This window comes from Homo sapiens, chromosome 9 (assembly GCF_000001405.40).
Source record: "Homo sapiens chromosome 9, GRCh38.p14 Primary Assembly".
Classification (NCBI taxonomy): domain Eukaryota; kingdom Metazoa; phylum Chordata; class Mammalia; order Primates; family Hominidae; genus Homo; species Homo sapiens.
This window is the reverse complement of record NC_000009.12, coordinates 135,841,216-135,866,281: the sequence shown is the minus strand read 5'-3', so window position 1 is coordinate 135,866,281 and position 25,066 is coordinate 135,841,216. Positions and strand designations below refer to the sequence as shown.

The 25,066-nt window shown below is 45.6% G+C and overlaps 1 protein-coding gene across 9 annotated transcripts in view, besides 1 other annotated feature; it reads left to right on the top strand.

The window, feature by feature from the left end:
• Positions 1–25,066, top strand: part of CAMSAP1 (calmodulin regulated spectrin associated protein 1) — a 99,060-nt gene that overhangs the window by 41,265 nt on the left and 32,729 nt on the right. For 5 of the 9 annotated variants that reach the window (XM_011518273.3, XM_011518272.2, NM_001437279.1 and 2 more), the window contains 4 exons: positions 918–950; positions 3,674–3,815; positions 15,821–15,960; positions 16,049–16,145. In XM_011518273.3, the coding sequence (XP_011516575.1) occupies positions 918–950; positions 3,674–3,815; positions 15,821–15,960; positions 16,049–16,145 (412 nt within the window). The remainder of the gene's footprint in view (positions 1–917; positions 951–3,673; positions 3,816–15,820; positions 15,961–16,048; positions 16,146–25,066) is intronic. The other 4 variants (NM_001437281.1, NM_001437280.1, NM_015447.4 and 1 more) reach the window with 2 other exon arrangements.
• Positions 15,265–15,559: an enhancer, noted in NCBI's record as "tiled region #6734; HepG2 Activating non-DNase unmatched - State 15:Elon". NCBI's record gives its function as "activates a minimal TATA promoter and a strong SV40 promoter by Sharpr-MPRA in HepG2 cells {active_cell/tissue: HepG2}" and the evidence as "EXISTENCE:reporter gene assay evidence [ECO:0000049][PMID:27701403]".

The following is a 25,066-nucleotide window of genomic DNA, read 5'->3' as shown; positions in this document are numbered from 1 at the left end:
CACGGCAGCCTGCCCCGCCTCTCCTGGGAAGGGGTGTTTTGTATTGCACTTTATGGTGCGTGAGGGTATTTGGGGGAATTGGGAAGCTTGAGTGAGGGACGTAGGGCCCACCTGGGTGCTAGCTTCCACAAGTCAACAAACAAGGGGGAAATTGCCTGTTGCTAAAGATGCCCTCGAAAAGTCCTTAAGTGGCTCATGAGGTACAGCGTAGCTGGTGGTGTACCTGTGTGCCTGTGCCATGATTCTGCTGGATGAACCCTACGTGCCTACTGAAGTAGCACGATGGCTGGGCTGCACCTTCCAGCCATTAGCCTTTTTCTTCCTCTGACGTTATTTTCTCTTTTGCAAGCACATGTGTGACTGAATTCACTCAGTTCAGTGCACACAAGATGCAGCCCGACCATCTATAAGGTCTCGCCTTTGAAGGGCAGTGTGCTGCCTTCCCCTGTTCCTTCTTCCCCCTCCAGTGGCACCAGCCCCTGGCCATGCATTTGTTAGCTGGGTGGGTGGGTGAGTCAGGCCGCCTGGTATGCCTCCCTCATCTGGATCTTAAGCATTGAGCTTCCTCCCTGTTCCTCAGATGGTCATGTTTAACACATGGGTACAGACTAAGCACTAGACCCTTCCCGCGTCAGAGCTGACTTCTTGCCTTTTGGTACCCAGCCCATACCAAGTTTCCGAAGTTTTCTTTGCTACTGCAAAGAATAGTGTTGTGGAGGTGACTCGTGATCTTCCACTTTAATCATCTGCTAATACAACATGACTATGGCCACGTACACTTAGAAGACTTTGCTTACCAGAGGCTCTCCCGCCTCTGCCGTGTAAACGCCGTGGGGAAGTGTGTGTTACCTCGTCCACACGTGGACCTGCTCTGCTGATGCTCCTCTCCTGCCTTCCTTCTCTCGCTTCCTGAGCAGTCTCCCTCCAAGTGGTATTGGAAGTTAGTGCCTGTAAGTGAACCCCAAGCCGCCAGCTGCCATCTACAGAGCCATCCTGTCGCGATCACTTGCTTCCATTAAAAACTGCTCGCACCCAAAACTGTTTTTTTGTTGTTGTTGTTTAAATGTCCCACCTTGGAGTTATTTATATAGTACAAGAATTGGCCTGATTCTGAGCCGAATAGGCCTTGTAATATGGCACTTTGGAACTCTTAAGTTACATTTCGCCCAGTTTCCTAGTTACTTCTTTAAGTGATCAACGTGCACGTAATGAGAGGGCATTTTTGTGATAGATACAGAGGGAATGAGAAGTGGTCTAGTTGCCCAAGTTACTCTGTATATTTTGTTCTTTCTGATGTTACCTTGCCTGACTGTGGTATGTAATGTGACATCTGTTAGGAGCCATCAGCTGGGTGGTCCAGGTATGCGGGTGATGCACCTGGTGGACTAGGGCTGGAGGGCTGCAGAGAGGGGCTCTCACCAGCATGTCAGATTCCTCTGTTCTCCTCCTCGGGTGTTGCAGCCATTCCTGCTGCCTCGGCCTGCATGGAGTGGGGAAGGGGCGTTTCCTTATTCCCAGGCAAGGGTCTGAGTTAGGTCAGCCTGGCCACAGGCTTTCTGGAGTTAAGTGTGAATTTTCACATAAAAAGAAAGGTGAAAACAGCATTTGGTTTTCCAACCCTAGTTGTGCTCCACCTGGTGGCCCATTCTGGAAGCGGAGCCAGTTTGTTACCAGGCCCCTGGGGAGAGAGTACTTGGTGCCAGTGGTGCCTTTCTCGGGAACTTTTGGATGGAGATCTTGCAGAGGGCTTTATGCATACTCCATTAACTGCCTGTGTCCTTCAGTGTCATTATTGGGCCCCTATTTTCCTTTGAAGTCCATCCTCGAGGCGATAGCAGCGGGAGTAAGCTGGGATACAGGGCTCCTTTGAGCAGCGGTAGATTCTGCTGCAGAGCTCACAGATCATTTTGCCTCTCTTGAAATATATTAATAAGAAGAAAGAGGAAAGCATTCTAAATCAATATAGATCTTTTAACTTTTTGAATCCTGAAGACTGAAGAGCTAAATATCAAAGCACTTACGTGATTTAGTCAAGGGCTCACAGACTTCGTCTGTCCTGCAGGAAGTGAGGTCACATGAGAGTTTTATAAAAACAGAAACATGTTACCAAGGGTGGTGGGTCCCTTAATGCTTTTTTATTAGATAGTTCATAACCCTAACTTTCCGACCCCAGTGTTCAGTAAATAGGTCAGTGAGGAGAAGTGTGGAAAGGCCTGGGAAAGACGGACAGATTTAGAGGTCTAACCTCAACACTGTACAGCCTAGAGGTTCACAGCACCTGATTTGCAAGGCAGCTATACAAGTTCCTGGACTCTTGTAGTTCCGGAGTGTTTCACCTGACCTTAAGCCCACCCCATCCATCTTTAATCAAGAAACCATGTGCTTTCCCGCATGCCTGTGTTCCCCCCTCACGTGTCTGCTGTCTGTGTGGAAGCCTGGCCTGGCGCATGCTGTGGTGCACTGCATGCTGGAACCCGTGGAGTTTGCACGCGTGGTACAGTATGAGGCGGGTCACGTTTTGTAGTGTGTGCCGTGGGCTCCCGAGAAACAAGTTAAAGTGTGTGCTGAAATAGATTTTATTGACATAAAATAAGCCTTATTGCTAAATTTAAGAGAATGTGTTACAAATGTTTTTTGCTAAACATCAGTATTGATTATTCTACATGATGTACTTATTGACATAACAACCTGAAATTCTTGATTTTAGACAATTTCTCCTCAAGTTGATTCAGCTGCATGACTCTCAGAAATCAGTCATTTTTTATTGTAGATTGCTGGTTTTCTTCCTCTAGTTTGTATCGTGTATTTTCCTCCTGTGGAGAAAATGTGGTTGGCAAGAAATGCCATATTTTAAAGCTGTATCGTGGCTGTTAATGCAGAAAACACCAGTGTACTGCAGGCTGTTTGGCAGTGGGGCTGGGGCTGAGTGTCCTGCCCTCAGTGGCCTGTGTCTGTGCTCTTGTTCGCTGACATGCAGATACAGGGGCAGATCTGAGGGTTTGATGGAGTGCAGAAGGCCACACGTGTGGCTTTCTGTAAATGCAGAAACATGGAATCCTTGAGCAGACACTTGTCTTCTGGAGCACCTTGCATGGATTTCGCCTCCTGATGCTTCATTGCCGTTAATAGAGTGGTGGTGGTTGTGTTATGAGAAATTTTGTCTAACCTGGCTTCTGAAATTTCTCAAACTAAATATTCATGCTGTTTTGTGTTTTTCTTAATGACTGAGGCTAGTGATATTACTCAGAAAAGTAACAGTAACTTGGGTCTTCTGAGCGTCAGGATGTTCACCATTTAACTTGTTTCTCGTTAGTGTCTAGTACGTCGGCTTTCGGTAGTGTAGGTGTGTGTTCTGTGTCCTTTCCCGTGTGTGCCTGCACTAGTGGCAGCCTCTGCTTCCAGGTCAGTTTAGAGTAGACTGGCTCTGGTATTGCTAGCAAGTAGTTGCTGTTACCCAGTGTAGCCATGAAGCCCAGCTCCTTGGATCTTGACATATATGTTCCAGGCAAAGTACGTAATCCAGACGTTTCTAACTCTTTCTAGATTATTGCAATTGTTCTCCATGTTGTCTGTTAGGCGTTATGTTAATTCTCGATCTAACAGTGTGCCTGTAACATATATGGTAGTGAAGAGACATCACATGCAGAGACCGTTTTCCTTTTATCAACTACAGGTCCGCTATCGACGAGAGCACCTTTCTGCTAGGCAGTCACCCTACTTCCCGTTGTTGGAGGATTTGATGAGAGACGGCAGTGATGGTGCTGCTCTCTTAGCTGTGATTCACTATTATTGCCCAGAGCAGATGAAACTGGATGGTGAGTGGAGAATGCTTCCCTGAAACAGATCCGAAAAGGCTTAAAGGAAAATTATAGTGTACATTGATCCACATATATATTAAAAAAAAAAAAGAGAAAGAAAATGGAATCCTTAATATAAATTGGGATGTTAGCCTATAGATGAAAAAATTGGGGGATGATGTGCTCATACTTAACCTGCATTTTATCTGATGACAAAACTGCACTTTGAAATTAGCTGGGTGTGGTGGCACACGCCTGTGGTCCCAGCCACTCGGGAGGCTAAGGTGAGAGGATCACCTTAGCCCGGGGTGGGGTGGGCGGGGGGTGGTGGAGAGGGAGAGAGAAATGGTACTTCAAAGTATCTGAGTAATGTGTGAAAGTATTTGTGACTTTATCTATGTCTCAGAATGGGTAGCTTTTGTAAATCCTTCCTCAATTGATTTAAATCACCTAGAACTTAGTTTGAGGATGGGAAAATTAATGCAAAATTGAATCTGTTTATGAACCATTTATGAACAACTGCCACACGCTTCGTGTTGGGGACGTTCCGATGACAGTGTATCTCCCTCCAGGTGTTTACACCCTAACAACGAGGAGAGAGAGAGAGTGACTGTCACCAGCACGACAGTGGGTGTCTGGACAGGGGCTGGGGGAGCATGAATTCTGATTTAGGTTTTGCTAAGCCCCATTCATTCTGAAGTAGGCAGATACAAGGCCAAGAGGTGCCCCCCAAACTAATATGGAAACATTTGTGTCAGACTTCAGGTGCTGGGTGGATTGAGCTGGCATTGATCTTGTTCCTACTGGGCGTAAAAATGCTAGAAAATATAGTTTCTTAGATAAAATAGTTTCACAAATATATAGCTGCACTTAAAGGAACAGGCTGGATATGGTGGCTCATGCCTGTAATCCCAGCACTTTGGAAGGCCGAGGCGGTAGATCACCTGAGGTTAGGAGTTAGAGACCAGCCTGACCAACATGGCGAAACCCTGTCTCTACTAAAAATTAGCCAGGTGTGGTGGCGCGTGCCTGTAGTCCCAGCTACTTGGGAGGCTGAAACAGGAGAATTGTCTGAACCTGGGAGGCAGACATTGTGGTGAGCCGAGATTGCACCAGAGAATTCCAGCCTGGGCAACAGAGCGAGACTCTGTCTCGGGGGGAAAAAAAAAAAAAAAGGAAGAAGGAGAGAGCCTCAGGTACCAGGAGACGGTCTCTGTCATTGAGTGAAAACTCATGAGTGGAGGACAGGTAGGTGCCCTGGGGCCCCTTGGGCCTGAGTTTCCATGTTCGTTTGGCCCTGGGCCTATGTGCTGTCAGGAGCTGTGACTGGGACCTTTTGGGAAGAGGACTAGAAAACTCCACCTACTGCCCAGGAGTGAACTGAGGAGGCCTGACAGATGCCCTTGGCTCTGGGGATGTGGAGGAGAAGCTCTTTAAGGAGGAAATGCAGCTCTTGGGTACACGGTGGATCAGAGGGAGGTTGAGATGTGTATCACCCATGTGGCGTGGGAATACTGGTTGAATGTTAGTGCAACAAGTAGTCTAGAACTAGTGAAACTCATGGTCCCTGGCAGGGATAAAGCACAGCTTGGCTGTGCAGGGACATTTCCATGAGCCAGGGCATGCTGGCTGCCCACTGAGGAGAACCCCTGCTGGAAGACAAACTCTTTGAAAAATCAGAAACCACGCAGGGAAAGCAGGCACTGCAGCTGATTTGGCACCAAGACATGGGTGAAAGATAACAGGATATTTAAAATGATGGACATTAAAAAGAGAACTAGACACCTTAAAGAAGACGGCGGAGGGGTTGGGGTCTTCAGATGTGCTGTGATTTTCTTCATCCTCCAGGTCTTGTCTTGGCACTTTTTTTTTTTTTTTTTTTTTTTTGAGGCAGAGTCTTGCTCTGTCACCCAGGCTGGAATGCAACTGCGTGATCTTGGCTCACTGCAACCTCCACTTCCCAGGTTCAAGCGATTCTCCCACCTCAGCCTCCCGAGTAGCTGGGATTACAGGTGTCCACCACCACACCCAGCTAATTTTTGTACTTTTAGTAGAGATGGGGTTTCACCATGTTGGCCAGGCCGGTCTGGAACTCCTGACCTCAGGTGATCCACCTGCCTTGGCCTCCCAAAGTGCTGGGATTACAGGTGTGAGCCACCGCGCCTGGCCATGGGACCTTCTTTTATGTGTTCATCTCTTACATTCTCCCTGCTGAGTTCTGGATGCTTTTTATTTTATTTATTTATTTTTTATGGAGACAAGGTCTCACTCTGTCACCCAGGCTGGAGTGCAGTGGTGTGATCATGGTTCACTGCAGCCTTGACTTCTCTGGACTTCTCAGGCTCAGGTGATTATCCCATCTCAACCTCCTGAGTAGCTGGGACTACAGGCACGTACGACCATGCCTGGCTAACTTTTGTATTTTTTTATTTTTTTTTTTTTTGTGGAGATAGGGTTTTGCCATGTTGCCTGGGCTGGTCTCGAACTCCTGGGTTCAAGCGATCTGCTTGCCTTGGCCTCCCAAAGTGCTGGGATTCCATACGTGAGCCACCGCACCTGGCCCTGGATGCTTTCTGAAGTCCACCTTCTAGTTCGTAAATTTGACTTTTCCTTCATTGTGTGCAGCCTGCCCTGTATGTCTGTTGGGGATCTTAAGACAGAGTGAATTGCTAAGGATACAGGGTCATTGCCAATTATGATCATGTGAACAGTTTACAGGAAGGTGTGACTGTATTGAAGCTCATTATCTAAGAGCAGAACATCAAAATGGATTTTAAAAAATGGCAGAGTTACGGCCAGGCGCGGTGGCTCACCCCTGTAATCCCAGCACTTTGGGAGGCCGAGGTGGGTAGATCACGAGGTTGGGAGATCAAGACCATCCTGGCTAACATGGTGAAACCCCGTCTCTACTAAAAACACAAGAAATTAGCTGGATGTGGTGGCGGGCACCTGTAGTCTCAGCTACTCGGGAGGCTGAGGCAGGAGAATGGCGTGAACCCAGGAGGTGGAGCTTGCAGTGAGCCGAGATCGTGCCACTGCACTCCAGCCTGGGTGACAGAGCGAGACTGTCTCAAACAAACAAACAAACAAAATGGCAGAGTTACAAGGAGAAATGGACAGAGCCACATTGCTGACTTATGTAACAGAAACTGATTGATAAAGCAGATCATTTAGTAAGGCCATAGAGGACTTCAGGCTTCATCCAGTGCACCAGCCACTGTGGAATCTGCTCACTTACAGACAGTAAAGACAAACATGGGAGCCTTTATAAAACGTGCAGTCGATTAAGGCCACAGGTGAGACTGCAGCAGATCCCAAAGAATCAGTACATTCTCCACAGTGCAGTAAAGTGAGAACTCACCAACTAGAAGATGCAGCTTCTTTTCCTGCCTGTGAATTAATGATGGTTCATTTCAGGTGTGAATTTGACTGGATTGAGAGAAGCCTAGGTGACTGGTGAAGCATTGTTTCTGGGTGTGTCTCTGAGGGTGTTTCCAGGGGAGATGGGTGTGAGTCAGTGGCTTGAGAAGGGAAGACCTGCCTTCAATGTGGGCAGAAGAGGGGGACTCTCCCTCTCTGCTCTCTGCTCTCTCTCCCTTACTGAGTGGGGCACCTTCTCTCTTCCTGTCCTTGGACATCAGACTCCAGGTTTTTTGGGTTTTAGACTCTGGGACTTGCACCATGGCTTCCTGGGGGATTTTAGGCCTTTGGCCTTGGCCTGGGGGCTGCACCATCAGCTTTGCTGGCTCTGAGGCTTCCAGACTTGGACCCAGGCATGCTGCCACCTCTGATTCACTAGCTTGCAGATGGCCTGTTGTGGGATTTCTCTGTCTTTGTGATCATGTGAGCAGATTTCTCTGATTAAATCCCTTCTCGTATGTCCTACTGGTTCTGTCTGTCTGGAGAACCCTGACAAATGCACAGTTATTCTAAAATCTTAAAGATTGAGTGCCTGGAAGCCAGAGAAGGCATTTAAATATTTCATGGATCATAGGGGAAAGAGTAGTGGGACTTGCTAGTGTGAGCTCAACAGGGGCAGGGTTTTACCTGTTTTGCTCACTGATGTATCCCAGTCATCTGAAATAGTGTCTGGGGCCAGTTGGTGTTGAGTAGGTATTTGTTACTAGAAAAAGAACGTAGAAGTAAACCCAAAAAAAGTTGAAGGAAGGAGAAATGAAGGGCAGTTTTCTATCCATTTCTGTTAGTCAGAAGTCACTCCCAAACAAGGAGAATAAGGAACTGAATTACAGATTCCATTTTGGATGAAACTAAGATATATCTGGACTCTGAACAAGTCCTCTAATGGAGAAGTAATTAAAAAAAAAAAAAAGGCAAAGTGGAGGAGGGGTGGGTGTCAAGCTGGGGACGCAAAGAGGCTCATCCTATAGGACCCTGGACAGCAGAACGGAGCACCAAGGATGCTGGTGGACAGCAGTGCCTGAGGGTGGATTCCTTGAAAGTTGGTCTCCAGCAATGAGAGCTCAGGTTCACTTTGCTTCTGATGCCTTTCTCCTCACATGCCCTCAGTAGATGCGGGACACTCTTGAGGAGAACTGAGCCAGATAGGCTCTAGCCTCAGACCCCAGGTGCAGGTAGGGATGAGGTGACACTGAAATCAGGGCTTTTGTGTAAAATTCTTCATACCCGAAGGTGAGACTGGTTCTCCTCCTGGTGCACCCTGCCCCAGAAGCCACCGTCTCTCTCACTTGACTCCATAATGCAGACCTGCCCCACATGCAACACAGGGAAGGATTCTTCTCTGCAGAAATCGGCCTCAGGAAAAAGACTCACAGTGACTCACTCTTTACTAGGAGCAGCAGCCAAAGATTCCTGACATTTGAGGAAAGCCACTGACCTGAATGAGAACCCAAATCAACAGAGATGGTGCAGGTGAGCAGGAGAAAATGTTAGAGATGAGAGGGTTTGGACCTCAGAACCAACAACAGGACTCTGGGAAACAATGTCTGCAAGATAGTGGCACATAACTGTGTACAGAATCATCAGACTCAGAACAGCTGTTGGAGTGCTACAGCTTGTTTAGAATTCTCTGGCAAATTCTAAAGAGCCGCCAAAAACCAGTTCTTGGGAAGGAAATATTTGGTTGCTAAGATGGGAGAGCCACTGAACTGCTAGAGGACAGTTGAAGAAATCTCCCAGAAAGTAGAACCAGAAAAGCAAAGAGATGGGAAATAAGGGAAAAAAGATGGAAAAATCAGGATCAGTCTACGAAGAAAGAGAAGAGAAAATAGGAGAAAAGAACTTAGTCAACACAAAATGTAGAAAAATGTCCCAAGGACATGCGTGGTAAGTAGGAAGGACCCAGTGGGTGGCCAGCAGGATTCCTGAAGAAGGGCCATGGCAAAGCCTACCATGATGAGCTCCGGAACCCCTGGGAAAGAGGAGATCCCAAATAACTGTGGAGAGACCAAGCAGGTTACACACAAGCAGGCAGCCCCAATGACACCAGATTCCTCAGCCACAGTCCTGGAAGGAAGATGACTGGGAGGTGCCTTCCCAGTGCTGGGGAGTGTGTGCACGCACACCATCCTGAAGAGGAGGTGGAGGGAGGCTCAGGCTGAAATCCACAGTGCCAGCCTTCCCATGGATGGGCCAGGAGCGTGGGACAAAGGCACAGACCAGGAGGAGGCAGTTGGCCTGTCCGGCTCAGAGGCAATAACAGGTGAATAACTGAGCCAAGTATTAAATCCAGGAGAAATGAAGAGTTGTGCAAGGAGTGTAAGTAGAGACACTGTGTAACCCAGCTGTGGAAGATGGTTACATAGTTATGGTGTATAGAGACTCAGTCTGGGTTTAATCACACATCCTGCTGTGTGGCCACTGGGGAGAGAGGCTGGGGAGGCACACAGAGGACCACCTGCACTGTGCTTGTCTGTTGTGACAGTGGGCTGTAGCCTCTTAGTCATAGGGTAGGGGATGGGGCTGCGTGTTCTCTTACCGAGGCCACAGGCAGAAGGAGTGGAATGGGCAGTGATAAGGTTTGGCTCTGTGTCCCTACCTAAATCTCTTCTTGAATTGTACTCCCATAATTCCCATGTGCTGTGGGAGGGACCTGGTGGGAGATAATTGAATCACAGGGGCAGTTTCCCCCATACTGTTCTCGTGGTAGTGAATAAATCTCATGAGATCTGATGGTTTAATAAGGGGAAACCCATTTAGCTTGGCTCTCATTCTCTCTCTTGCCGCCGTCATGTGACACGTGCTTTTCATCTTCCGCCATGATGGTGAGGCCTCCCCAGCCATGTGGAACTGTAAGTCCAATAAACTGCTTTCTTTTGTAAATTGCCCAGTCTCAGGTATGTCTTTATCAGCAGTGTGAAGATGGACTAATATAGGCAGAGACCTAGTTCTCTTAAGCTTTTCAAAACAAATAGTTTGGCTTTTTTGTTTTTGTTTTATTTTTTTGTGTTTTTTGAGACTGGAGTCTCACTCTCTTGCCTATGCTGGAGTGCAGTGGTACGATCTCGGCTCACTGCAAGCTCCACCTCCCAGGTTCACGCCATTCTCCTGCCTCAGCCTACCGAGTAGCTGGGACCACAGGCGCCCGCCACCGCGCCCGGCTAATTTTTTGTATTTTTAGTAGAGACAGGGTTTCACCGTGTTAGCCAGGATGGTCTTGATCTCCTGACCTTGTGATCCGCCCGCCTCGGCCTCCCAAAGTGCTGGGATTACAGGCGTGAGCCACCGCACCCGGCCTTTTTTTTTTTTTTTTTTTTTTAAATTGAGATGAAGTCTCCCTTAGTCACCCAGGCTGGAGTGCAGTGGCCCGATCTCTGCTCACTGCAGCCTCTGCCACCACCTGGATTCAAGCAATTCTTGTGTCTCAGCCTCCCAAGTAGCTGGGACTACAGTCACGCACCATCACACCTGGCCAATTTTTTAATATTTTTAGTAGAGATGGGGTTTCGCCATGTTGGCCAGGCTGGTCTCGAACTCCTGACCTCAGGTAATCTGCCCGCCTTGGCCTCTGAAAGTGCTGGGATTACAGGCATGAGCCCAGCCAGCTTCTTAAAGTAAAATACAAATTTTAAAATTTTGGCATGCAGCAATAGAAAAGGATGAGATCATGTCTTTTGCAGGAATGTGGATGGAGCTGGAAGCCATTATCCTTAGCAAACTAACAGAGGAACAGAAAACCAAATACTGCGTGTTCTCACTTAACAAGTGGGAGCTAAGACCGGGCGCAGTGGCTCACGCCTGTAATCCCAGCCCTTTGGGAGGCCAAGGTGGGTGGATCACCAGAGGTCAGGAGTTCAAGACTAGCCTGGCCAACAAGGTGAAACCCTGTCTCTACTAAAAATACAAAAATTGGCCGGGGGTGGTGGTGCACACCTGTAGTCTCAGCTACTCGGGAGGCTCAGGCAGGAAAATTGCTTCAACCCAGGAGGTGGAGGTTGCAGTGAGCTGAGATCACGCCACTGCACTCCAGCCTGGGTGACAGAGTGAAGCTCCATCTCAAAAAAAAAAAGTGGGAGCTAAATGATAAGAACTTAAGAACACAAAGAAGGAAACACAGACACTGGGGTCTCCTTGAGGGTGGAGGGTGGGAGGAGGGAGAGGAGCAGAAAAGATAACTGTTGGGTACTGGACTTAATTCCTGGGTGATGAAATAATTTGTACAACAAACCCCCGTGGCATGAGGTTACCTATGTAACAAGGCTTCACGTGTACCCTCCCAAACCTAAAATAAAAGTTAACAAAAATTGGCAAATTTGCTGGGTGTGGTAGCTCATGCCTGTAATTCTAGCACTTTGGGAGGCTGAGGCGGGGGGATCATTTGAGCCCAGGAGTTCAAGACCAGCCTGGGCAACCTAATGAGACCCCAAAAATTAAAAAGTTAGCTTGGCCTGGTGATGTGCACCTGTAGTCCCAGATACTCAGGAAGCTGAGACAGGAGGATCACTTGAGCTCAGGAGGCTGAGGCCACAATGAGCTGTGATTGTGCCACTGCACTCCAGATGACAGAGTGAGACCTGCTCTCAAAAAAAAAAAAGTTTTGGCAAATTTAACAGCAAAAAGTGAATAAAGTAGAAAAAATTCCAAAGTTCTAGAGAATATGTAAAACTAAAAGCTTATTGTTTTAAAGAATTAATAAAATAGATAATCTGGAAAGACTGATCAAGAATTCAGGTATAGCAGCTACTGAAATAAAAATACTGAGAATATTTGTGTGCCATATGTGTTTGAAATGTTAGACAAAATGAGCAATCTTCTTTGAAGCCAAAAGTGGTGGGCAGTCTAAATAGACCCATAACTACAAAGGAAACGGACTCAGGAGTCAACACATACATCCACAGGGACCAACTTCTTCCTGGGGCATTTCACCAGACTCTCAAGGAATTGTCAGCTCCTGTGTTATGTCAAGTGTCCCAGATAATAGGAAAAGATGGAGTGGCCCAAAAGGGGATTATTCCCTGACACTGAGTAGGCTATGAGAGGAAATTCTAGGCTGGCTTTCCATGTTAGTATGGATTGAAAATCCTATGTAAAATATTAGCGCAAATTGAACAGATTCTCTACAGTCATCTCAGTAAGGGCAGGGAATCACTTGTGGGCAGTCACTGCCCCCTTCTGATCGTGGCTCTGGGCCTCATAGGGACTTGATTGGACCTCATAGGCTGTTGACCCCACCTGTGGCAGGTGCAGTTCCATTGAAGGCCCAGGAGAAGCGGTGCCTTTGTGTCCTGACGGAGCGGGTTCTCTGAGCCTGGCAAGAGGAAGGTAGTGGGAGCCGTAGCCAGGGCTGCCCTGTGCCCCTGCCCTGCACTGCAGTGCCCACTCCCTATGAGCATTCTCTTGTCATGTGAGAACTGGGAGGCATTTGGGAGTAAGTGCAGCAGAAGAGAGGCGAAGAAAATCCATCGGCTTTTCTATTTCTCTTGGGAGAAGACTGAAACAAGTGTACTTAGATCCCCAGTCAGTATTAAAACTTGTGATTTCTCCAGATTGTTCTGAAAACTTGTCGCCAGTCCAGTAAATACTTTTGTCTTCACAGATATTAACAAGGCAATGCAGAAATTCTCTTGGATTGTGTTATTTCTGTGTCTCTCTCAACCATTTGAGAGTAACACAGCAAAAGTTGGGAAAGCTAACGTTGGCACACAGATCCCCAGCCTGGTCCTGACTCGCTCAACTACCCAGGAGCACCTGCTTGGCCCAGCGTCCCCTCATAGTTTCCCTTCATCTGGAGTCGTTTCCAGCCTTTACCTCTCTTGACTCTTGATGTTTTCGAAGAGTAAGGTTGTGAGTAGTGGCCCTTGGTGTGTTTGTCTGGAGTTTCCTTGCGGTGTGTCCTCCCAGCGTGTCACCTCAGGGGCAAGGTACTGGGACATCTCCGTATTGGTGACTCCAGCTTCACCCCTTGGTGCAGGTGGCATGTGCTGGCCTTCCCCACTTCTAAGCTTGCTGTTTTTGCTTTAGAATGCATTAGTAATTTGTGGGGAGAGGCTTTGGACTGTGAATACGTTTCTCATCAGACTCTCACCTGCTGGTCTCTCCACGTGTGGATGGCTTCCAGCCTCAGTGCATCTTTCCATTTTGTCAGCGTTTGCCCCACTTGCTTGCTTCTTTATTCATGTGTTTGTTTATATCCGGATGGCCTCATGGATCTTACTTTATTCAATAGGTCATAATTCATTACTTTCATTATTTATTTTGTTGCTTAAATTGTCCCAGATTTTAGCTGAGTAGTTTTGAAGAATAAGAATGTGCAGGGTATGTGCCCTACAAATACCAAATTTTGCTTAACTTTGCATTACCAAAAACAGTGTGGTTTTGGTTCCGGGGCAGTCACATGGACCAGATGAATAAACCACATGTAGAACTGAGAAAAGAGATGCTTTGCAGGGAATCTGGTGCCTTTGGGGTGGCCTCACCGAGGGAGCCGCGCTGGCTGGTCAAGAACATGGCGGCATAGACATCTCTATGGGAAAGTGCCGTAAAACCTCACCCCACCTGAGCCAGAAATACCCCTTCCTCGGAGTAAAGATGCAAACCTGAAAAGTAAAATTTAAGAATTTTGAGAAGATAAAGGCAAATACTTTTATGATGTTCGTGTAGAGATGGATTGCCAAAATTATAAAAAGCACAAATAGAAAAGATTGTTAAATGTAACCATATCAAAATGTAAAACTTTCCTGTGACAAAAGAACATCATAAACAAAATGAAATGATAAACTGTACCCATTGAAAATATTTGCAGCACACGTGACCTGATGAAGGACTGTCATCCAGTCCTTTCGTAACCACAATCCAGAAAGAATTCTAGAATCGGTAAGAAAAAGATGCACAGCCCAAGGCAGATATGGACAGGGTCCACAGGAGAGGACCCTTCATGACCAGTAACCATGAAAAAGTAAAGCCACAGCAGTCATCAGAGGCATGCTGTTTGAGAAGGAGGTGTTCACGCCCCTCCGCCTGGCAGACATGGACAGGTCGGTCATGCTGCGGTGCAGGTGGGAAGGAGCAAGCTGTGGAGTGCTGTGGGTGGGACTGGAGCGAGGCACAACCAGGCAGAAGGGCGTTGCCAGGTGACACAGGAGGGCGTGCCTAGCTCGTGGCCCAGCGAGTCCCCTCTCAGAGTATGCCTGGGCAACACCCGTCTGTACACGCATAGACAGCACACGCAAGCTTTGTGATGGCAGCATTTGTCATAATTGTGAGAAATCGTGGAGGACCATATAGCGGTCAAGATGAGTGACGGAAATCTCTCCGTATCAACATAGATCTGTTTGAAAACATCATACTGAGTTTTGGGGCAAAAACTGGCTGCTAAAATGAGGCATAGCTTGATACCATGAATGTAAGTTTCTCAAGGCTGAGACAACACTGTTTGTGTTACTTGTGGATGCAGACAGTGTGTAGAATACTCAGGAGGAGTGGAAAGGGTTTGTGGCAGTGTTGGGAGAATGGTTCCCTTTGGAGATGGAGATGACTTCGGCTGTTTTATTTCTAAAAAAGAAAAGATCTGAAGCCTATAAGACGTTAACATTTGATGGTCAGAACTGTACAAAAGGAAACATCCTTAGCAGTGTGAGTGTGCACAGTTCCTCAGCTTTAAAGTTTTCTTTTGAGAATGAATGCTGCTTAGGTGACTGTGGAGGGCAGTTCATGAACGACTCTGGATGCTGTGGCTCCAGTTTGTACGTACTTCTAAACCCTTGAAAATGGTTTTTTCCTTAGAAATAAAATTTATGTAAAAAGTTATTTCTGAAATTCTATTTTTTCTCTATGTATATATTTACAGGCAAAATAAAGTCAAGTCACTTCTCACGGAGTCCTGAGCTGCACCGTGCTCTCCGCAGGGCTCTTTGTCTGAGGGCCACCCCCCACTCCACACCAGGGTGCCTAGACTAGGGGGAGGCCTGCTCTTTGGTCCTGTGACTTGTTGCCCATACTGGTGCTTCCTCCATGGAGGGTCTGCAAAGTCACGTGCAATGGAAAGTTGCCCTGCAGATGCTATAGCCACCAGTCTCCACCTCTTCATGGAAAGAGACTTGGGCTATGCATTGTCACTTGATCTTTGTGATTAGTCACATTCCTGTGTTATCACTGAGTGGGCGTGGATGAGCCTGATGCTTTACGTTTTATTCATTTCCCTTCCCCCTGCCCTTTACAAACACGGAAACCTTGTGCAGAGGGTTTCTGATGGGCGGAAGAAACTCGGCTCAACATTTACTCGCTACGTGCAGCATGGCTCTGCTGTAAAGTGAAAGGTGATTGTTGCTGTTTGTTTTGGAAGCCCACTCTTGAGATCTGAGCGATTTCTATTATGCTTTCTGGATGTTCACCATCAAATTCAGACTTGAGAGGTTCCTGGAGTTGTCTTGAGTGTTTTCTTTTTATACTTAGTGTTACTTGTTGTACATCCTATACTCCCTACATCTCTCAATGTCATTATCTTCATTACTACCTTTATGTAAAATGGTTTTCATTTTAGAATGCTTCTCTCTCTCTCGAAGCAGAATACCTTTACAATAAATTGTGATTTTCTTTTTGTCTATTAGATATATGCTTAAAGGAGGTAACGTCGATGGCCGACAGTCTGTATAATATTCGGCTTCTGAGAGAATTCTCCAATGAATATCTTAATAAATGTTTTTATCTCACCTTGGAAGATATGCTGTATGCGCCATTAGTGTTGAAGGTAATAACGAATTATTTGGCATGCAGTTTTAAAACCATGTGTGAATAAACTGCTTATCATACTTTGGTTTTTTGTTTTTGTCTTTTAGCCGAATGTTATGGTTTTTATTGCGGAGCTTTTTTGGTGGTTCGAGAATGTCAAGCCAGATTTTGTTCAGCCCAGGGATGTTCAGGAGCTGAAAGACGGTGAGTGACAGATATTCCCCAGGTTGGCAATGGTTTCCTTGAGAGCCTAGAGTATCAGAAAGCACTCTCCAGTGGTTCCATGTTTCTCGCACAGCAGAGTTCTTGGAAGAGCCTGTGGAGTCAGAATCCCAGGGACGGGCGTGAGAGTTTGGGGAAAGGCTTTCTAAGTGATTTTGATGAACTATTCGGTTACGAATCACAGCTCTAAAAATTGCACAACTCTAAAAGTTCCAGGATGGCTGTTCTCACCTCCAGAATGAACAAACTGAAAAAAAAAAAATGTTTACTACAGATTAAAATAATCTGTCAGGCTTGACAATCTAGAAAGTTTTAAGGAGATAATATAGAGGAATATCTTCATAACCTTGGATTAAGAAATTATTTCTTACAAAGAATATGAAAATATTAGCCACAAAGGAAAAGATTGCAAATTCAGCAACATTAAAGTTTGGACCTTCTTTTCCTTGAAAGATGATAAAGATAATTTTAAAAAACCCCAACTATTAATAACTATAGAGGGGGAAAAGGTACTTGCAATGTATGTGGTAGATAAATAACTAGTATCCAGAATATATAAAGAGCTCATTCATAGCCATAAGAAAAAAGAAGAGCCAACAGGAAAAAAAGGCAAAAGAACAGATTCTTGATGAGAGTGGGACCCCATGTGCCTAACTGATTTGTGAAAAGCTGCTTGGCCTCAGTCATCAAGGATATGCAAATTAAAGATGACACCCAGACGGCCTGCAGCTTGCAATGCTTAAGATTTTTCAGCTTCACCGTGGTGCAAAAGCGATGCACGTTCAGTGGAAACCGTGTTTCCTGTGCCCTACAACCATTTTGTTTTTCACTGTCAGTACAGCATTCAGTAAATTACACGAGATACTCAGCACTTTATTCTAAAACAGGCTGTGTGTTAGATTTCGCCCGGCTGTAGGCTAGTGTAAGTGTTCTGAGCACACTGAAGGCGCCTAGGCTAAGCTGTGATGTTTGCTAGGTTAAGTGTATTCAGTGTGTTTTCTACTTACTGATATTTTCAGTTTACGATGGGTTTATTGGGGCATGACCCCATTGTAAGCTGAGGAGCATCTGTGCGGGTATATATCCTCCAGATATATTTGTGGCAAAACGTTGGAACGGGCCCAGGTGTGGGGCAGTGTCTGAGAGTGCACCTTTCACCACTGCTGGCGAGAGTGTTACTTGGAGTCACTGTTTTACTTGGAGCAGCCTCTGAAGCTCTTCAGTGTTACCCAGTCCTGTGGGTTGCCTGCCCTTTGGCTCAGCAAGCCCATTCCTGTGGTGTATCCTCAGGGAAACTTGGTACTTGTGCATCAGGACACAGGGAAAGGATGCTCAGAGCAGCTCTGCTCATAACAGCTAAAAAGAAGCTCCCAGATGTGCCTCTGCAGTCAGAGTGGTGCAGTGTTCTATGTCCATGCCACAAGATGCTGTGCAGCCCTGGGTGTGTGTGAGCCACAGCCACGAGCAGCTACAAGGAAGATTCTCCTGATAATGAAGGCACAGAATCACATGGACAGGCTGGAGAGCAGGCAGAGCTCCACTGTGTTTTCCAGGGGGTGTGTATGTGTGTGCATGCGTGTGTGTGCATGTGTGAGCGTGTGTGTGTGTGTGTGTCTGGGGCTAAAAGGCAGTGGTTCATTGGGCACGTTGGGTGCTCCTGGCAGACCCGTGACTTTCTCTTCTGGACCCGAGTGGTGGTTACCTCGATTTTGCTTTATAATTATTTGTCAAGCTCTATGTACGTTTTATGCAGTTTCTCTCTCTGTGTGTGCGTGCACTATTTTACAATAAGAAAGAATAACGACAAAAAGCTTAGAACTGGGTTACCTTGCTGTTAGAATGTTCTTAAGTCACCTCGCTTCCTCACGGGTGACCTTGAACTAATTTTTCATCCCTGGACTTAACTTTCCTTCCCAACTCTTCTTCTGTGGTAACTATTCCATCTTACAGCCAGAAACACTGTAGTGCTGTGAAACTTGCTTCCTTCATCTTAACTGAGGTTAGCCCTAAGTCAAGGCTATTGCTGACTCCTGTTTTCAGATTCGTTTCTATTCTTCTTGCATTTAAGGTAGAATAGGCTTTCCTTGTTTGATGCCTTCATGACTGCAGCACCCTCTCCACTGCCCTGTCCTTTCTGGCTTCCCTTCCCTTCACTCCTCCCCCTCCCCCCCCACTCCCATCTCCCCACTCCCCTCCCCCACTCCCCTCCCCTTCCCCCACTCCCCTCCCCCCACTCCCCTCCCCTTCCCTGCCCCCTCCCCCCACTCCCCTCCCCTTCCCTGTTCTGGGATACTTGTGCACAACCTGCAGGTTTGTTACATAGGTATACACGTGCCATGGTGGTTTGCTGCACCCATCAACCCATCCTCTACATTAGGCGTTTTCCCTAATGCTCTCCCTCTCCTAGCCCTCCCACCCCCCGACAGGTGTGTGATGTTCCCCTCCCTGTGTCCGTGTGTTCTCATTGTTCAACTCCCACTTATGAGTAAGAACATGCGGTGTTTGGTTTTCTGTTCCTGTGTTAGTTTGCTGAGAATGATGGCTTCCAGCTTCATCCATGTCCTTGCAAAGGATATGAACTCATCCTTTTTTTTAATGGCTGCATAGTATTCCATGGTGTATATGTGCCACATTTTCTTTATCCAGATGGGCATTTAGGTTGGTTCCAAGTCTTTGCCATTGTGAATAGTGCTGCAGTAAACATACGTGTGCATGTGTCTTTATAGTAGGATGATTTACTTTTTTTTATTTTATTATTTTTTTCGAGACAGAGTCTCACTCTGCTGCCCAGGCTGGAGTGCAGTGGCACAGTCTCAGCTCACTGCAAGCTCCACCTCCCGGGTTCACACCATTCTCCTGCCTCAGCCTCCCAAGTAGCTGGGACTACAGGTGCCCACCACCATGCCCAGCTAATTTTTTTGTATTTTTTTTTTTTAGTAGAGACGGGGTTTCACCGTGTTAGCCAGGATGGTCTCGATCTCTTGACCTCATGATCCACCCGCCTCAGCCTCCCAAAGTGCTGGGATTACAGTTGTGAGCCACCGTGCCCGGCCTATAGTAGGATGATTTATAATCCTTTGGGTATATACCCAGTAATGGGATTGCTGGGTCAAATGGTATTTCAGTTTATAGATCCTTGAGGAATCGCCACACTGTCTTCCACAATGGTTGAACTAATTAACACTCCCACCAGCTGTGTAAAAGTGTTCCATTTCTCCATATCCTCTCTAGCATCTGTTGTTGCCTGACTTTAATGATCGCCATTCTAACTGTCATGAGATGGTATCTCATTGTGGTTTTGATTTTCATTTCTCTAATGACCAGTGATGATGAGCTTTTTTTCTTATGTTTGTCGGCCGCATATATGTCTTCTTTTGAGAAGTGCGTCCATTCAAATCCTTTGCCCACTTTTTGATTTTTTTTTTTTTTTTTTTTTGGTAAATTTGTTTTAAGTTCCTTGTAGATTCTGGATATTAGCCCTTTGTCAGTTGGATAGATTGCAAAAATTTTCTTCCCTTCTGTAGGTTGCCTGTTCACTCTGATGATAGTTTCTTTTGCTGTGCAGAAGCTCTTTATTTTAATTAGATCCATTTGTCAGTTTTGGCTTTTGTTGCCATTGCTTTTGCTCTTTTAGTCTTGAAGTCTTTGCCCATGCCTGTGTCCTGAATGGTACTGCCTAGGTTTTCTTCTAGGTTTTTATGGTTTTAGGTCTTACATTTAATTAAGTCTTTAATCTGTCTTGAGTTAATTTTTGTATAAGGTGTAAGGAAGGGATCCAAATTCAGTTTTCCGCATATGGCTAGACAGTTTTCCCAACACTGTTAAATAGGGAATCCTTTCCCCATTGCTTGTTTTTGTCAGATTTGTCAAAGATCAGATGGTTGTAGGTGTGTGGCATTATTTCTGAGGCCTCTGTTCTGTTCCATTGGTCTATATATCTGTTTTGGTACCAGTACCATGCTGTTTTGGTTACTATAGCCTTGTAGTATAGTTTGAAGTCAGGTAGCATGATGCCTCCAGCTTCGTTTTTTTTTTTTTTTTTTTTTGCTTAGGGTTGTCTTGGCTATGAGGGCTCTTTTTTGGTTCCATATGAAATTTAAAGTAGTTTTTTTAAAATTCTGTGAAGAAAGTCAATGGTAGTTTGATGGGGATAGCATTGAATCTATAAATTACTTTGGGAAGTATGGCCATTTTCACAATATTGATTCTTCCTATCCATGAGCATGGAATGTTTTTCCATTTGTTTGTTTCCTCTCTTATTTCTTTGAGCAGTGGTTTGTAGTTCTCCTTGAAGAGGTCCTTCACAGCCCTTGTAAGTTGTATTCCTAGGTATTTTATTTTCTTTGTAGCAGTTGTGAATGAGAGTTCACTCATGATTTGGCTCTCTCTTAATCTGTTATTGGTGTATAGGAATGCTTGTGATTTTTGCACATTGATTTTGTATCCTGAGACTTGCTGAAGTTGCTTATCAGCTTAAGGAGATTTTGGGTTGAGACGATGGGGTTTTCTGAATATACAATCATGTCATCTGCAAACAGAGACAATTTGACTTCCTTTCTTCCTATTTGAATACTCTTTATTTCTTTCTCTTGCCTGATTGCCCTGGCCAGAACTTCCAATACTGTGTTGAATAGGAGTGGTGAGAGAGGGCATCCTTGTCTTGTACCGGTTTTCAAAGGGAATACTTCCAGCTTTTGCCCATTCAGTATGATGTTGGCTGTCGGTTTGTCTAAATAGCTGTTATTATTTTGAGATACGTCCCATCAATACCTAGTTTATTGAGAGTTTTTAGTATGAAGGGGTGTTGAATTTTATCGAAGGCCTTTTCTGAATCTATTGAGATAATCATGTGGTTTTTTGTCATTGGCTCTGTTTATGTGATGGATTACGTTTATTGATTTGCATATGTTGAACCAGCCTTGCATCCCTGGTATGAAGCCAACTTGATCGTGGTGGATAAACTTTTTGATGTGCTGCTGGATTCAGTTTGCCAGTATTTTATTGAGGATTTTTGCATCGATGTTCATCAGGGATATTGGCCTGAAATTTTTTTTTGTTGTGTCTCTGCCGGGTTTTGGTATCACGATGATGCTGGCCTCATAAAATGAGTTAGGGAAGAGTCCCTCTTTTTCTGTTGTTTGGAATAGTTTCAGAAGGAATGGTACCAGCTCCTCTTTGTACCTCTGGTAGAATTCAACTGTGAATCCGTCTGTTCCTGGGCTTTTTTCGGTTGGGAGGCTGTTAATTACTGCCTTAATTTCAGAACTTGTTATTGGTCTATTCAGGGATTTGACTTTTTCCTGGTTTAGTCTTGGGAGGGTATATGTGTCCAGGAATTTATCTGTTTCTTCTAGATTTTCTAGTTTTATTTGCACTGAGTTGTTTATAGTATTCTCTGATGGTAGTTTGTATTTCTGCGGGATCAATGATGATATCCCCTTTATCATTTTTTATTGTGTCTATTTGATTCTTCTCTCTTTTCTTCTTTATTAGTGTGGCTAGCAGTCTAGTTTGTTAATCGTTTCAAAAAACCAGCTCCTGGATTCATTTTGAATTTCGTTGCTCTTGCTTCTCTGGTTCTTTCAATTGTGATGTTTGAGCATCAATTTCAGATCTTTCCAGCTTTCTGTTATGGGCATTTAGTGCTATAAATTTCCCTCTAAACACTGCTTTAGCTGTGTCCCAGAGATTCTGGTACATTACCTCTTTGTTCCCATTTGTTTCAAAGAACTTCTTTATTTCTGCCTTAATTTCGTAATTTACCCAGTAGTCATTCAGGAGCAGGTTGTTGAGTTTCCATGTAGTTGTGCGGTTTTGAGTGAGTTTCTTCATCCTGAGTTCTAATTTGATTGCACTTTGGTCTGAGAGATTGTTTGTTATGATTTCCGTTCTTTGGCATTTGCTGAGGAGTGTTTTACTTCCAATTATGTGGTCAATTTTAGAGTAAGTGCTACGTGGTGCTGAGAAGAATGTGTATTCTGTTGATTTGGGGTGGAGAGTTCTCTTGATGTCTATTAGGTCTGCCTGGTCCAGAGCTGAATTCAAGTCCTGAGTATTGTTAATTTTCTGTCCCGATCTGTCTAATATTGACAGTGGGGTGTTAAAGTCTCCCACTATTATTGTGTGGCAGTGTAAGTCTCTTTCTAGGTCTCTAAGAACTTGCTTTATGAATCTGGGTGCTCCTCTATTGGGGGCATACAGATTTAGGATAGTTAGCGCTTCTTTTTTTTTTTTTTTTTTTTTTTGAGACGGAGTCTTGCTCTGTCGCCCAGGTTGGAGAGCAGTGGCGCGATCTTGGCTGACTGCAAGCTCCGCCTCCCAGGTTCACGCCATTGTCCTGCCTCAGCCTCCCAAGTAGCTGGGACTACAGGTGCCCGCCACCACGCCCAGCCAATTTTTTTTGTATTTTTTAGTAGAGACGGGGTTTCAGCGTGTTAGCCAGGATGGTCTCGATCTCCTGACCTCGTGATCCACCTGTCTCGGCCTCCCAGAGTGCTGGGATTACAGGCATGAACCACTGCGCCCTGCCAGCTCTTCTTATTGCATTGATCCCTTTACCATTATGTAATGCCCTTCTTTGTCTTTTTTGATCTTTGTTGGTTTAAAGTCTGTTTTATCAGAGACTAGGATTGCACCCCCTGCTTCTTTTTTGCTTTCCATTTGCTTGGTAAATGTTCCTCCATCCCTTTATTTTGAGTCTTTGTACATGAGATGGGTTTGCTGAATACAGCACACTGATGGGTCTTGACTCTTTATCCAATTTGCAGTCTGTCTTTTTATTTATTTATTTTGAGATGGAGTTTCGCTCTTGTTGTCCAGGCTGGAGTGCAATGGTGTGGTCTTGGCTCACTGCAGCCTCTGCCTCCCGGGTTCAAGCGATTCTCCTGCCTCAGCCTCCCGAGTAGCTGGGATTACAGGCCTGTGCCACCACACCTGGCTAATTTTGTATTTTTAGTAGAGACGGGGTTTCTCCATGTTGGTCAGGCTGGTCTCGAACTCCCGACCTCAGGTAATTCACCTGCCACGGCCTTCCAAGGTGCTGGGATTACAGGTGCGAGCCACCACACCCGGCCCAGTCTGTGTCTTTTAACTGGGGGCATTTAGCCCATTTACATTTAAGGTTAATATTGTTATGTGTGAATTTGATCCTGTCATTATGATGCTAGCTGCTTATTTTGCCCGTTAGTTGATGCAGTTTCTTCATAGATAGTGTTGATGGTCTTTACAATTTGGCATCTTTTTGCAGTGGCTGGTACCAGTTTTTCCTTTCCATGTTTAGTGCTTCCTTCAGGAGCTCTTGTAAGGCCTGGTGGTGACAAAATCTCTCAGCATTTGCTTGTCTGTAAAGGATTTTGTTTCTCCTTCGCTTATGAAGCTTAGTTTGGCTGGATATGAAATTCTGGGTTGAAAATTCTTTTCTTTAAGAATGTTGAATATTGGCCCTCACTCTCTTCTGGCTTTTAGGGTATCTGCAGAGAGATCTGCTGTTAGTTTGATGGGCTTCCCTTTGTGGGTAACCTGACCTTTCTCTCTGGCTGCACTTAACATTTTTTCCTTCATTTCAACCTTGGTGAATCTGATGATTGCGTCTTGGGGTTGCTCTTCTCGTGGAGTGTGCTGTTCTCCGTATTTCCTGAATTTGAATGTTGGCCTGTCTTGCTAGGTTGGGGAAGTTCTCCTGGATAATATCCTGAAGTTTGTTTTCCAACTTGGTTCCATTCTCCCCGTCACTTTAGGTACATCAGTCAAACGTAGGTTTGGGCTTTTCACATAGTCCCATATTTCTTGGAGGCTTTGTTTGTTCCTTTTCATTCTTTTTTCTCTAATCTTGTCTTCATGCTTTATTTCATTAAGTTGATCTTCAATCTCTGATATCCTTTCTTCCACTTGATCGATTCAGCTACTGATACTTGTGTATATTTCATGAAGTTCTCGTGCTGTGTTTTTCAGCTCCGTCAAGTCATTTGTGTTCTTCTCTAAGCTGGTTATTCTAGTTAGCAATTCCTCTAACCTTTTTTCAAGGTTCTTAGCTTCCTTGCATTAAGTTAGAACATGCTCCTTTAGCTCAGAGGAATTTGTTATTCCCCACCTTCTGAAGCCTACTTCTGTCAGTTTGTCAAACACATTCTTCGTCCAGCTTTGTTCCCTTGCTGGCAAGGAGTTGTGATCCTTTGGAGGAGAGGAGGCATTCTGGTTTTTGGAATTTTCAGCCTTTTTGCACTGGTTATTCCTCATCTTTGTGGATTTATCTACCTTTGGTTTTTGATGTTGGTGACCTTTGGATGGGGTTTTTGTGTGGATGTCCTTTTTGTTGATGTTGATGCTATTCCTTTCTGTTACTTTTCCTTCTAAAAGCCAGGTCCCTCTGCTGCAGGTCTGCTGGAGTTTGCTGGAGGTCCACTCCAAACCCTGTTTGCCTGGATATCACCAGCAGAGGTTGCAGAACAGCAAAGATTGCTGCCTGTTCCTTCCTCTGGAAGCTTTGTCCCAGAAGGGCACCCTCCGGATGTCAACCGGAGCTCTCCTGTATGAGGTGTCTGTTGACCCCTGCTGGGAGGTAAACACCCAGTCAGGAGGCACGGGAGTCAGGGACCTACTTGAAGGCAGTCTGTCCCTTAGCAGAGCTTGAGCGCTGTGCTGGGAGAGCCACTGATCTCTTCAGAGCCAGCAGGCGGTGATGTTTAAGTCTGCTGAGGCTATGCCCATAGCCACCCCTTCCCCTAGGTGCTCTGTCCCAGGGAGATGGGAGTTTTATGTATAAGCCCCTGACTAGGGCTAATACTTTTCTTTCAGAGATGCCCTGCTCAGAGAGGAGGAATCTAGAGAGGCAGTCTGGCTACAGCGGCTTTGCCCAGCTCTGGAGGGCTCCACCCAGTTTAAACTTCCTGGCGGCTTTGTTTACA